Source organism: Homo sapiens, chromosome 3, assembly GCF_000001405.40.
Source record: "Homo sapiens chromosome 3, GRCh38.p14 Primary Assembly".
Taxonomy (NCBI): domain Eukaryota; kingdom Metazoa; phylum Chordata; class Mammalia; order Primates; family Hominidae; genus Homo; species Homo sapiens.
Window position 1 is genome coordinate 75,934,205 of NC_000003.12, and position 15,514 is coordinate 75,949,718.

General features: G+C 33.4%; 1 protein-coding gene across 9 annotated transcripts in view; it reads left to right on the plus strand.

The window, feature by feature from the left end:
- The window catches only part of ROBO2 (roundabout guidance receptor 2), a 1,743,290-nt gene that overhangs the window by 27,530 nt on the left and 1,700,246 nt on the right, over positions 1 to 15,514 (plus strand). For all 9 annotated transcript variants that reach the window (NM_001378191.1, NM_001378195.1, NM_001378196.1 and 6 more), the window contains exon 2: positions 3,277 to 3,398. In NM_001378191.1, coding sequence (NP_001365120.1) covers positions 3,290 to 3,398 — 109 coding nt within the window. In that variant the 5' untranslated portion in view covers positions 3,277 to 3,289. The remainder of the gene's footprint in view (positions 1 to 3,276; positions 3,399 to 15,514) is intronic.

Consider the following 15,514-nt stretch of genomic DNA (forward strand, 5'->3'; position numbering starts at 1 on the left):
TTACCTCTCTGTTCACTGCATATCCAATCTGTTTTATGTGCAGAAGAGCACAATGGGCTCAACTATCCAGGCTTTAGGAGTTATTTTAATCTTTAAAGAGCAATAGGTACAAGTAAAAGTACATACATAAAGTAGGCATTTAATATTTAATTTTTATTCTCATATGCACGAAAAGGGTGTTCCAAAAGAAGATTAGAGAAGTCCATGGCATGTCTTTATGGTTAATGTTACTTTATGTTTTGGTTCATCTACCATGCTTCTTACAAATTACTTGTTTTATCTTTCATGGAAAATTTTTTTTAAATGAATTGAGTTTACTTTTCATCAGCACAATTGTTGACTAATACCAAAGTTAGTTAGAAGGTTATGATTTTTATATTTATAGAATGGCAGGGGCAGCATTTAGATCATACATCATAGTAACTTGGCATTTATGAAATATTAGTTTTCCATAAACATCAACTCAGAGAGGAAGGTTACATTTTTTTAAATTATAATAACATTTTGAAAACCATCTGTCCTTTAAAATGTTACTAAAATATATATTGGAACTGGTGTTTTAGATGCCAGTCCTTCCTGAAAAGTGTTTTGAGATTTTTTTCAAATACTGCCTCAGTTCTATATAAAATAGTAAAAATTCTGCCTTTTAAAATGACTACTGGATGTAGGTAAGAAGAAGTTAAGGAAATATTACATAAAAATAAATTTGCAAAAGTAATTTACTGAAGGATTATTTACACTTTGATGAGTGGATCTGGATATTTTGATACTAAGTGAAAGTGGTTCCACTATAATTATAAGAGAACAAAGTTCTGCAAGTAGAAATTAAAAGAATGTATATAGGCCAGGCACGGTGGCTCGTGCCTGACCTCAGGTGATCCTCCTGCCTCAGCCTCCCAAAGTGCTGGGATTACATGCATGTTAAGTGGTACTCTAATTATATCAGTAATTTAAACCTCAAAAGAGATTCATCATGTACACAAAATTAAACTTGTGTAATTAAATTTATAAGTAAAATTAATTGAAGAAATCAAAAAACACAAGGTGGCTCACACCTGTAATCTCATTGCTTTCGGAAGTCTAGGTGGGAGGATCCCTTGACCTAAGGAGTCTGAGACCAGTCAAGCAACATAGTGGGACCCTATCTCTATAAAAAAATTAGCCGGGGATGGTGGTGCGTGCCTGTAGCCTGAGCTACTCGAGAGGCCGAGGCAAAAGTATCACTTTGAGCCTAGGAGTTGGAGTCTGCAGTGAGCTATGATCACACCACTGCACTCCAGCCAGAGCAACAGAGGGAGACTTTAAAAAATAAATAAATCACAAAACACTTGTAATTCCAAATCCAGATATATAAATATTTATATAAACACACGTTATCCATAGTATATGTATGATAAAATATACTTGTATGTTCAACTTGGGAAAGGCTGTTGATTTTAGAAACTAATAATTCTGTTGCCTTATGCTCTAATGATTTTCAATTTGAAGATGTATTTGGGATCAAATACTTGAGCCTCCATACACAAGACATCTTTTTTTCCCTCTTCTCAGCATCAGTTTTTGGCTGATTGTTGGACTACAATTGGGAGATCTAGAACTAAATTCCTGCTTAGTGTTTACTTGTTCAGAGCATAGGCTTTGAAATCGTCCTGTTTTGTCTCAGTCTCCACAAGAGTACCCATAACCTGATGACTAGGGGATCGTGTAGCATTTCTCTAAGCCTTGTTTTTCTTAGCTGTGAAGTGGTAAATGTTGAAAGTGCTTTGTTCATAGGATTTCTGTGAAAACTAAATTGGGTAAAGAATGTAAGGCATTTAGCACAGTAAAATAACCTGGATTACAGTAACTTTTCATGGAGTGTTTATTGGTACTTAAACTGTCACTGTCATCAAAATTCTGTTTTTACATATGAACTTAGAAATGTCATTGTAACCTTCTTAACTCATTTGGTCATTTAAAATGGAGAGGTTGAGTTAGATGTTTCTTAAATTTCTCTTTAGCTCTGATACTATGAGTCTGAAGTTAAGTAATGCAAAGTTGGTAATTAAATCTTCCCCTTTCATGATGTAGGAGAAAGGGAGAAAGAAAACTTCTGGGTGACTGGATTCCCTTGCAAGTTTATTAGAATTGTAATTATGCAGCATTTTGAATAAAGCATTCATTCTGGAAATTATTAAGTTTACTTTTCTTAACTCCGTATTTTGTCAACTGTGGAAAAATTGGGATTTAGGAGTAACCTCTGATTTAAAATTCCATCTGCTAACCATTTAAATTGTAGTCTTGTAATTTCCTAACTTTGGTCTTGAAGGTGTTTATCATTCTTATGCATTATTATACTGTATTATATATTTATGCAACATAAAATGTATAGTTTTAACTATTGTACATGTTTACATATGAAAGGTATAGTTTTGAACTTATCATTATTCAATTTGCTAGTTTTGCTTCACTATTCATTTTTGACACTTATCCATATTAGTACATGCAACTCAAGTTTATTCTTTAGAGCTACTGTGTATCATTCAAATGTATGAATAAATAACCTTGCTTTGGTGGACATTTAAGTATTTTCATATATCAATATGAAAAGCAGTTTCAAAATGAACATTCAAATATACATTGTCATATATATGTATAATATTTGTATATATGAAAGTTCCTGTGGGTTATATATCTGAAATCAAAATTACAAGTGTTTTGTAATGTCTATAATTAATTTTACTATCAATTTTAAGTAAATAAGATTAGTTTTTGCACATGATGAATCTCTTTATTCAGTTAATTACTGACATAATTAGAATACCACTTAAAACTTGAGAATATTTTCAAAGGTATTTATGCTAAACTTACATAAATGTGTTGAAAAGTCCTTTTGTATATATGTAGAGATTACATGGTATGTTAAATTCATCAATTTGCCTAAATATCAAGTTATACTTAAGTAGTGTCCATACACAATTTTTTTGCTTGACTGAACTCCAATATGTATATTGGGAGTACTTTTTAACATTCATGGTTAAATGGCCTGTTTTGGAAAATGATATTAAAAATGTGATTCAGATGAATGCTTAGAATAAAGATTAAAGATGAATGAGCTTTCATATTAATCATCAATATGACAATCCTAAAGGGAAGCATGATTTTCAAATGTACCTCCTTGTAAGCAGGATAATTCAGAAATGCACAATGCATATTAGATATGGGATTTGAGTCGTAGTATATTTCTCTAAGAATGTAATTTATTGTACTTTCACATCCACCCCACTCAATATGCAGAGTTTAAGATGCAATGGCCAGAAGACATGAACGTGTCACTAGAAGGATGTGGACATGGGCTCCGGGACTGTTGATGATGACTGTGGTGTTTTGGGGTCATCAGGGGAATGGACAAGGCCAAGGTAAGTGCAAGGATGTTCTAATTCTTTGAGAGTTGGATGCGAATTTCACTTTATGATGATATTATGTGAGTCTTTGGTTCGACGTTTAAGCAATTTGTTGTAATTTTCCCCCAGGTTTTTGTTACACGGTATTGTAATGCCTCTGCACCAGTTAAATTGAAATAGAATTATGTGTGAGTAAATGCATCAAAATTGAAGCCATCTTTCTGAAATTGGCTTTTATCTGTTGGAATTGATTTTATATATATATATATATATATATATATATATATGAGGTATTATGAGGCTATGTGTGTGTGTGTGTGTTTTGGGTGGGCGGGTATGCGTATGAGTTTGTGTTTGTGGTATTTTATAAGAACACGTAGCATATAAAGTTTTTGTGATTTTGAAGAAAAGTTTTTGGATGTTTGTTTATTTTCTTTAGGGTTTTTGTGTTTTACATTTTAAAATTTCAAGAACCTATTCTTAAAGGATGTGATGTTCTTTAGAAATTAAATGAAAAATGTGATGTTTCTCATTCTTCCGCCAAGTGTATTTAGGGGAAATTAATGATAGAGTGGAGCTGTAAGGTTGTGGCATCCTGAAATGTCTGTTGGAGAGTAGAAAAGGGCCATAGATTTTGTAATAAGGCTTTCAATACTGATTTGATCAATAGCTGTATGGAGTGGTTTGTGCCAAATCTAGTATCTCTGAGTGTATTTTGTGATAAGTATTGTTTTTGGAGGTGTGTTGGAGGTTTTGGAGGTGTGTTTTGGAGGATTATTATTTTTGGAGGTGTGTTGCCTGCTCAGATACAAATTGCATTTCCGTATTTTATGTGATAAAACATCCTGACACCCCTGAAATTTTCTTTTCCTTTTGGGGCAAGTATATTTGGCATTTTTTCCGCATTTTTAAGGCTTGAAATGAAATCTGTAAGCAGGAAGTTCACAGAGTTTATTTCAAGGGATAGGTGTATTACTCCAGATAAAATTGAAAGTGTGCAGTGTTATTATATAATTGTGATGAAGTTGAGCTTTGCTAGTTTGAAGTATCTAATAAAGTTTAACACTTTTTAAAAGATCCTTCAAAAAGAGCAGTTTTCTTGCCATATGTAATATTGTTCAATGAATTTTTGAAATGAAATAGATATTTTTCAAAACCACAAATGCATGTGTGCCTTTGTATATGAATAGTTGTATATACATGTAAGCAGATAATACATTTTGTTAATTAAGATCAGCTTTGATTTTAATTTTTCTTTCATGCCATTCAGAATTTATATTAGCATCTAATAGAATTCTCATTTTTCTTTTTTGTGATAAAACTAATGTAAAATATATTTAATACACATAGTAGTTTTTTCACCAAAGGTCTAAAACAAGAATATGTAGACAGTAGCCACGTTGGGTTTCTGTGGCTGTAAGAGTTGTTTATTTCTCTGGTAATGTGTAAAATTACTAAAATGCAGCATCACAACTGTTTCTCTGTAATAGTGATCCAGCATGACGTGTAGTATGACACAGGGTTGCTGAAACAAGAATATGTAGACAGCCGCGTTGGGTTTCTGTGGCTATGAGTTGTTTATTTCTCTGGTAATGTGTAGAATTACTAAAATGCAGCATCACAACTGTTTCTCTGTAATAGTGATCCAACATGACATGTAGTATCACACAGGGTTGCTAAAACCTTCCTCTGACCATCATTTCCAGTAATTGTGGCTTGTTTTAGATGAGGAATAGGTTACTAGATATTTAAAATATTTGAGAAAAATAGGTATCTTCTCTCTTATTTACCCAAACCCTTTTATTTACTCAATATTGATTGCTCAAATATTCTATCTTTCATTGGGGACCATCATTTATTAAAAAACAGCCTGAAATCAATTCCAAGTCTAGCTGTAGTAAAGCTTCTAGTGGGAAATGCAAGTTAAGTAATTTGTTTTCTTTCTAAAAGGATAAATTAAAATAGACAATGATTCAAAGAACAAAACAACTTAATAGAAAACTTAATGGAATGCTTTGATATTATGATTCAGGCAATTTTGCTTCCTTTGTGGTAGCTAGATTGAGTGAAGGAGATTGCTTAGGTATAATGAGCAAATCTTATAATTGCAAGTATAACCCAAGCTGCATATCATCATTTAGATCAATAAGCCTCATTAAATATTAAATATTACCTTTTAACTTTTATGCAATTAAGCAGAATTTAAAAATAAAAGTTTTAAAAATTAAAGTTTTTATTACTAAATATCTTTTAAAATACAAATCTCATAGCTCCTTATTATTGTCAAGAAAAGAATACATGAAAATTTATAAATAAGGTTTTCTCTCTATTAAGTTTACAATCTTGCATTAAATATTGGTTATTGTGACCCGCAATGTCCAAGATTATGATTAAGTATCAGTGAAGTGTGACTCCTGCAGCAAATATGCATGCAAATGTTATAAGATTATTTTCACATTATTTCACATAATTTCTTAAGCATAATAGTATGAGTAAATTATACTTTCTACACAACCTCTTCATATTTATGAATAGACTATGTTCTAAATGTTTAAGTCACTGGGGAGTCCCAATGTTCCTTCCTAGAGAAACCGTGTGAGAAATTGTAGCTAAGTTAAAAAAACGGAAGACAAAAAACGATTTAACGAGGAATGTAGATTAATATCATAGTATATCTCAACTGTGTGCAACCACTACTTATAAAAAATGATATAAGAAATGCAGTCTGAAATCTGAATTCTAAATAAGAATGTAGGGCCATTATCCCTCTGGGGCCCTTAGGGTCAAAATAAGAGAAAAGGGATGAATGGTGGGTTGGAAGTAAGTCAATGATCCTTGTCAATTTTTTGTATCTGTGAAGAAAAGCATCTGCTTGAGGACATCCATTTTCCTACTTCTGAGTTACAGAATAATAGGTGCTTATCCTGAGTGTAACATTCCCTGACGTGGACTCTGTCTGTGTCTATGCTGCTTAGGTGGTTTGTGCATGAGAAAGTGTTTAACATCTGATAATGGAGACAATCCTTAGAGAAAGATATATATGAATTTTAAAAGGAAATATACCTACAATGGAAATAAAACAAATAACATAAATATCTAGCTGTATTTTGTCTTTTTGGTAACTATTACAATATATACATTTTCAAATAACTAAGTTCAGCACTGACTTTGGGAGAATCTAGATAAAACTGAACTGACATATAATAAGCATGGGTGTAATTAATGGCACAGCGGGCAAAACCATGGGGGTGTTTCCTGAGAAAGAGGGACTATAGAGAGGCACCAGAAAACCCAACTCATTTACAGGATTCTGGGGAGTGCCAGCAGCAGTTATTATATTCAGAACCAAGAACTTATTTCTAACTCAGCAACCCATAGTTCTGGCTGAAGTGCAGTGGTGCAATCATAGCTCATCACAGCGCCAAACTCCTAGGTTCATATGGTCCTCTCATCTCAGCCTCCTGGTAGCTATGACCACAGGTGTGCACTACCATGCCCAGCTAGTTTATTTTATATTTTATTTTTATTTCATTTCATTTCATTTCATTTGTAAAGGCTGGGTCTTGCTATGTTGCCCAGGCAGGTCACGAACTCCTATCCTCAAGCAGTCCTCTAACCTAGGCCTTCCAAAGTACTGAGATTACAGGCATGAGCCGTTGCATCTGGCTCAAAAATATTTCTGTCTTAATGGCTTTAACAAAGAAGTGCTATTTTGGGGATATATACAATGGTGTGCTGTTTTGGAGTGACACAAAAATAATTATAAGAAGAATGGAATGAATATGTCAGTATGTTTTCAAAAGCAAGTTAGCCCAAGTTTTTAAACAAGCATAATTTTAGAGTTTTTGTAACTAACTTAGGGTTTAAATGTAGCAAAAATTTTAAACATTATCATGAATACACAGAAAATTTTAATCAATTTGGTTTCCACGATGAATTTACATGCTTAAATTCCTAATTTCAATCTGCTGCTAGATATGAGAAAGTTTGAAATTTTGAAGAAGCCAGTGGCGCTTACAACTGTAGGAAACTTAAATTTTGAGGACAATTTAATTTAACTTCCATTTTTATGACCAGATTTTGGGTCAGCTATTAAGCAGTCAAAAAATAAAATCTGATAATATCTGGCAATTCCAATTTTCAGTTTTATTGGTCTTCACCATGAAATAATATTTAAGTTAAGGGGCAAAATTTTGGAAAAGCAGATCACTTTGTTGTCCTATTTAGCAAGTTCTCAAATTATGCCATCCTGGAATCATTACAAGTAATTATATGAAGACAATATCTTGTGTTTTGTATTTCATTGTTACACATCCAAGTTTTCTCTAGAGATATCAGAGAAAACCTACTCAAGAAGGGAAGGTTAGATAAACAGCCCTCTCTCTCTCTCTGTCTTTGCCTCCATTCGGTTCCTTACAATCGTTTCCCAGTGCATTTCAAAGTTACTTTTATTGTTCCCTTCATTTTCTCTTTCATTCCAGAAATTTAAGTGATTGTATAATTCTTTTGAGAGCTGAAGGTAGTATCTGACTTTGAATTAAAGGTTTACAGCTACAGCTTTTAATTAGAAAATCTCAGATCATGTGATCTATGAGTTTTAATATCTTAGGATCACTACCAGTAAGGAATAATCACTTTGAAAAACCTTAATGCTACCTAGAGTTTATGTTTTGTGAGGTTGCTTGGTAAATTATTTTCATTTGATAATTGAATATTGCTTCGAGAGAGGTGAGCTCAGACATTTGGCAATGAATATTGAATGTGTATTCCAAGAGACATGACCTTAAAATATCATCAAGCTAAGTAGTAGTGAAATTGAACTCTGCTGTATAATAGAAGTCAGTGTTTCTTACATCTTTATGATATATAAATATTTTTACATTGTGGTAGACAATAATTTGTATGGAAAAATTTAAATGAATTCAATTTATCCTATGGCAGAATTATGTTACCTAGGTCATTTTAGTTTTTGATTTAAGCGTCTTAAAATTATAAATGCAAATATTCAACACATAAAACCCACATGAATACACACTCCCAAACATTTGAAATCCTAGCAGTCATTTCTAACAGCTTTTTCCTACAAAAGAAGTCAACTATTTTTAGAGATTACATGCATTCCCATAGCTTGAGAGGTTCACACTATAAGGTAAACAGAGAAAGTATTACAGCAGTTTAAGAATACCAGTGGATTTACTTTAAAGACAGTATACTTTTGATTTCCTTGTCTTCAAAATTTAGTTTCTTGAGAAAATTATCTGTGTAGATTAATCATGCATTTCAGATACTTTCCAGACATCTGAATGTTGTTTTCTTAAAAGTAGTTAGCAAGCCTTTTTATGCAGTCTGCATGGGAGATAGTAAGAGACGTGTATGCTGTATATCTACTAGCAGAGATTTGTTTTTGAGTGCTTCCTTAAAAAATTATTTTTTTCTGAAGAAAGGGATTTCTTTTTTATAATTTAGATTAGATGATTTTAAATGTTTTTATGTTTTAACCTGTATTTCTGATCATCAGGGTCACTGCCATGGAAAAATGCAAGTTATAGCATATTTCATTTTTATAAGGAAAGAAGTTGATAATTTAGACTTTTTTGTTTTACTAAATTGAATTACATCACTCAATATTTGGATGGCATTAATTCACAATAGTAACAAAAAAATCTTACTATTCAACATAATAAAGTATGATTTCTTTCACATTTGTTTAACTTAATTTGTTCTTTAAGGTACATCTCCTAATGAAGGTTTTCTCATCCTCTGAAGCTGAATTTATTTAGGAAAAATATTTTAAACACCATCCCAAGTGATATAACTATTTTTATTGAGCTTTGATGTTCTATTTGAACATATTTGAAGACTGTACAAGCACTCAATTTGGAATTAAGATTTCATTTGGAGATTTTGGTTGTATTTGAAATCTGTTGTGGAATTCAACATGAAGAATAGGTAAATTTACTAGATGTCATTGTCTATGACACATTTTAGTCTTATCTCTCTGCCTATATGTAAAGAGGAATAGAAATAATTGGTATAAACAGGAAAAAAGAAGTAAAGTGGTAGGATCAGATGTGAGAAATATATAAACTAAGATATTCTTTTTTTGTTTGTTTGTTTGTTTTTTGTTTTTTTGAGACAGAGTCTTGCTCTGTTGCCCAGGCTGGAGTGCAGTGACACAATCTTGGCTCACTGCAGCCTCCACCTCCCGGGCTCAATGGTTCTCCTGCCTCAGGCTCCCGAGTAGCTGGGATTACAGGTATGCATCACCACACCTGGCTAATTTTTGGATTTTTAGCAGAGATTAGGTTTTACCATGTTGGCTAGGCTAGTCTCAAACTCCTGACTTCAGGTGATCCGCCCACTTCAGTCTCCCAAAGTGCTGGGATTTCAAGTGCGAGCCACCAGGGCCAGGCTAAGCTAAGATATTCTAGAAGCTAATAATAGTAAAATATAATATAAATTGTTTAAAATTAATCTGTATACGAAATTTTTTCTAGGACTTTCCTGCCAGAAAAGTAGGAATAGAATGGCAGAAGGAAAGAGGTTCCTTCTACAAGCAGGCACACATCCTATCTCACTTTATCCTGTGATCAGTCTCATAACCATCTCCTGGTGTGAAGTGCTAAAACTGTGCTTTAAGAATAACTTAAGTCCTTTATGTACAACTAAAGTACGAGAGCCTGAACCTTGGAAACCAAGAGATTCCAAATAGCCTTATGTGTGAGACTGGATGGCACAGATCTTGGCAGAAATTACTGCTTATTCTTAATTCTTATTGTTCCTTTCTAACACTTCAACTTATAATGCCAACATCTACCTCAGCCTAAAGACAAGCTCTGGAATCACTTGTGTTACTTATTACATTTCTTTTAAAAAACTCATGAATTACACATGAATTTCAAAGTTGCCAACTGAGATTCCAAGGACTTAAAAAAAAACCTGGCACCTTTCCATTATAAAGGCTGTACACAGTGTTCATAGTGTTTGTCTTTAAGGGCCATGCCTCATCCATCAGCAACTTTTCTTCCTTAAATCATCATATCTTGTCTGAAAGTGTTTTCTCAAAAGTTAGGAAGGACTAAGATTTACAGGTTGTTATATCACACCTTAATCTACTTATCAACTTTAGCATTATCAAAGCATGAACTGTTTTGGATTTTCATAGTTAATTATGTTTGTCATAATAATTGGGATGCAATTGTTTTTCTTATGATTATTTTGTACTTCTTTTTCTTATGGTAACTTCTGATGTTTGTTTGTAAGATCTTCCTCTCTTTTCTCCACCTAGTTATCTTCCTACTTTCTGTCCTTTAACTCAGATATCACCTACACTGTGTGTCTTTCTGGATTGCTTCTTATTTAACTGTTGCTTTTCATAGTTTACGTACCTCCTCCTATACCACACTATTAATATTTCTCAAACTGCACTATAATGCTGGTTTGTGTCTTTATTTATTTATAAGCTCCTTGATAATTCAGACTATATATTTCTATATTCAAAAATTACTTATGAAGTGTTTACTTTGGGTCAAGAATTATTGAGTGAAGGAAATTGACCAAAACTCTGCCATCATGAAGCTTGCATTCTAACATAGGGAGACAGATAACAGACAATGAGCCACATAAATATGCAAAGTATCGTAAGTTAGATGGTGAAAAGTAATCCTGGATGGGGATCAGATTATTTTGATAGGGTAATTTTTAATTGGATAGTCAAGAAAGGCCACACAGAGAAGATGGCAATTGGAAGAACAAGGTAGTGAGAACTGCTGAGTCTGGAGCAAAGCACACAGTTTGGAGTAGTAGAAGATTCCAGAAGTAACAGAATAGAGGCGAAGAAGTAGGAATTGTGTAGAGTCTTATTTGCTGTTGTAATGACCTTGGCTATGGTTTGAAGTGAGGTGGAAAGTTCGTAGGGACCTTAGTTTTCTTTTTAATAATTCATTATGAATTTTAAACGGTCACTATTGAAGACTCAATAATTTTGCTTTATTCTCTTGCAATTGACTACAAAACAAACTAGTGTATTAAAGAAATGTTAAATTCTAATTTAAACTGATTGAAATAGGTTTTTATCTTTTTATATTTTTCATTACCAAATATCTCATTTTTAATTAATTTGAAAGCATTCTAGAATAGTTAGCCAATGCAATTTAGCATAATGCATAACTTATTATTCATCAGATTTAGGTATTTAACTGAAGATGCTAATTAGAAAAGTAACTTGTTCTGTTGGATGATTTTGATAAAGCTACTTTCAAATGATTATCACATCCATTGATGTCATATTAAGTTGTGTTTCTGGAACCCAAATTTAGGCAGTGGTAATGAGTTAATATCTCTAAGTGGATACCTTTTATCTCTACAGTCAAGATACTTGAAAGTGGAAAAACATACTGGCTTCAAGTCTTGGGAACTAGGACTTACCGGAAATGTTTTGGTTTGTTTTGTTTCCTGGCGGAATTGTCTTCTTGGAAAGACGGTGTTTCCTTCTACCAGGAAAAAAATTGATCGTATGCTGCTTTACTTTAATGCTTTGCTTTTGTCAAAATAGTGTTTTCTTAGGAAAATTAACCTATCATAATATCATGAAAAGAGAAATGCTGAAGACACAAAATGATGTACATGTTAATATTGAGTAGGAAGCATCAAGGGACGTGAGAAGAGAGGGAAGCAAAGAGAGGGAGAATAGAAATATATACTATAACAAAATAGTAAAAAGGATTAGCATATACATGTAGTCAATAAGTCAATAAATGGCTATTTATAGAAAGCCTACCAGGCACTAGGGGATATAGCAGTGAAGAAGGCAAAGACACAATTGGCTATACTGTAGTGAGGAGGGAAAGAGGAAGAAGACATACAAATACCTAAACAAAGCAATGGTGTGAAGGGCTATAAGGTACACTACTGTGAAGAAGATTACATGTGGTAACATGGTTGAGTAAAACTGGCAAGTAGGAAGGCACTGATCTGGCTATAGGTATTTCAGATAATTTTTCTCTCTGAGGAGGTAATATTTCATTTGAGAGTTGAGTGAAGACAAATAGGGAGGTACTTTGAAGATCTGGGGTGCTCTGAGCAGAAGGAAGGGCAGATATAAAAATTCTGTAATTTAAAAAGAGAGCTTGATAGTTTCTTACAAAGAAAGCCAGTTTGGCTGGAATGTCCATGAAGGAAGAGCATGGAGAGGTATTACATGAGTGCTCTCAGGGACCAAATTTAGATCTTATATCAAAGTGTGAATATAAATTACATTGAAAAGTGTATGATGGATATGTGATATGATGAGGTTAGTTACCTCTTAGGAGGGTGTACTCTTGTGGAAGGGTACAGTAGTGAAGGAAGGGGGATCATTTTGCTGACTATTGCACCTGTCCAGTTGAAGGATGATGGTGGTTGGGATTATGATTGTAGCAATAAATTTGGAGAAAATCAGTTGAGATTGGAAGTTGATTTGAAGGTGATTGAATTTACTGAGCAAGAATTATACCAAGGTATTTGGATTTAGGGACATGGGGGATTATGGTCACTTTTAGTGAAATGGCAACGTCTTGATGACATGAGGAAGTTTGCAAGTGACAGAGGTGTGGGCAGATGCATATGTATGATTGATTTTACATTTTTTAATCTTAAATTAAGACGATAGTTAGAATCCAAGTGGAGATATCAAGTAGGCACTGACAAGTTGACTTGGCTAGAGATGTGAGTTAGATAATCATAGCCTATACATCATGCCTAAAGTCATGAATCTAGGTGAGGGGTTGGCAAACTATTACAGCCCATGAGCCAGATCTGGCCTGCTGCCTGTTTTTGTATGGCTCATGAGTTATAAGTACGTGTTACATTTATAAGTCTAAAATGTAAAATATAGGAAAATTTTTCAGCAAGGAAAGTTCCATAAATTTACCTCTTGGCAACACAAAGCCTGCAATATTTACTGTCTGGCTCTTTGTCAAAAATGTTGCTGACTCCTGATCTAGATGAAACCCTGTGGGGAGAGAGTGTTGATAGAAAAGAGAGAAGCATCATAGTGGAAATTAAAATTATGTCAACTGAAGTGTGTAGGGTAGAGAATTTAAGCCTGAGTATAACAGTAAGAGATTAAAATAACAATAAATGCATTATCAGCATGATCAATAAAACCTTTGGGGGCAAAAAGGAGCTATCTTCATCAGACCATTCACTCCCTCATACAAAGATCTTAGGAAATATAACTTGTTTGAAGATCTGAGATAAGGCTAATGTAGTTTGGACAAAGAAAGCCCATGGGAGGATGACATTATGTCTGGCCAAAGATTTAGGGAAGAGCCAAATACTTCAGGCTTTTTAAAGTGATCTTTAGATAAAGAGGAAGTCCTCAAGGCATTCTGAAGTTGGAAGATCAAATCACATCTGATGGGAAAAAATCTGGCTGTATGTGCATCTAGGATGTAAGGAAGCCAACACGGATGTGAAGTTACAATTGCCCATTGCAAATAATAAAATGAAGGCCCCAGGTAGCCTTGGCAAGGGCAGATTTGGTACAAAATCCTTATTGGAATGGGCTTAAGCATTAATGGGAATAAGGATCTAGCTGTTGTGTTTAGTGGACTTTTATCAGTCTTTTTGTTGTGTATGATATAGATGGTCAAAATAAGGAACTTCTACATTTTTGGTTTTTGTTTTATTTTAATTGAGATTTGAATTAAAAATAAGAAACTTTTATTTTCAAAATTGGAGACTGTGTTTAAAAAGTGTAGAGTAGGGCTGGAAAAAAACATCAAACTCTCCTGATGAGGAGAATGCTAATCATGACTCTAATAATAATGAAATACTTTTCTGATAACTTAATTTTTTTATTGCTTCATTATTTATGTGTGTATGGGAAGTCATACCCTAGCCACATGCCAATTCACCTGGTGAACTTGTTCTTCAACGTGGCCCAAATATTTCCTTCTATCTTTAGCCTTCCGTGGTTTCTCACATGGACTATTGGCTCTTCCTACTTGAGCCTTCTGGTAGTACCCTGTAAGAGACATGCTACTCCATGACAACAGGCACCACGCTGCAGGGGAATTGCCATACCTGTCAATCACTATCGCTAGAATGTGGCCTTTCATGAGCCCTGAGATTTCTTACTGTTTCTCTGAGCTGTAACAATATTTATATTGAAAAAATAAACATGTTCTTCTATCTTTAATATTTTATATCTTATAATTTGAATATCCCATTTTCATTATACTACTTAGCTGCTAAGTTATGTTATAAAAACAAGTTTTAATTATCTGCAAACACCTTCAAATCTAATCCTTACCAGTGAAGACTAATGTCTGGTTAACATCTGTTAGGACATTTATTTCCATACGGTATTTATAGTGCATTTTTGTTATTGAAATGATTACTGTTTAGTTTGAAATAATGCACCCTGAGGATTGGAATGATAAATGTGTAACTCTTACACAAAGATCATATTTTTAGATTTTTGTATTTAAAATACTGGTTATCAAAATAAAAAGCCAGATGTTATTTGTTTATGTTTCTGTTGAGGTACTGAATCTATTTCAAGTCATATTTCTCAGTATTGATATACTTAATTTTGCTGAAATAACAACACACTATCTTTAGCTACTTTTTTTCTCAATATGTCTCCTTGTCACTCACCATTTCTGCCTCATCTCACTTCTCATCTTTATTTCTTTTTCTTTGGTCTACTTTTACTTTAGGGATTCTTTCAATTTAGAAGTTTTCTTGTTTTCTAATAATTACTATTCTTCTTGGATATACACAGATATCCTTTTCCATTTCATTTGTGAATTTATCTCAGAGGAATTTTGTGTGTGCCTTTTACTCATAGCTTCTCAGAAGTCCCTTTTGAGGTTACTGATTTCACATGTCATGTACTGTAAGGTTTGCATGGCATGGTGGCAGCTGACTTTTGCCTTTACATGGATTGAAATGTTCACTCAACATGGACTGGTAGGATTTTTTTTTCCTTAAACATTACATTGCCTTGTAAACAAAAGCAAACCAAAAACTCAAAACTAACATTAGTATTGGTGCCCCTGGAAATAGCTGCCTTCTCACTAAAGTAGATTTTGTCATCCAACTTTGTGTGTTGTTGAACACACATGGTGCTGTATGAGCACTCA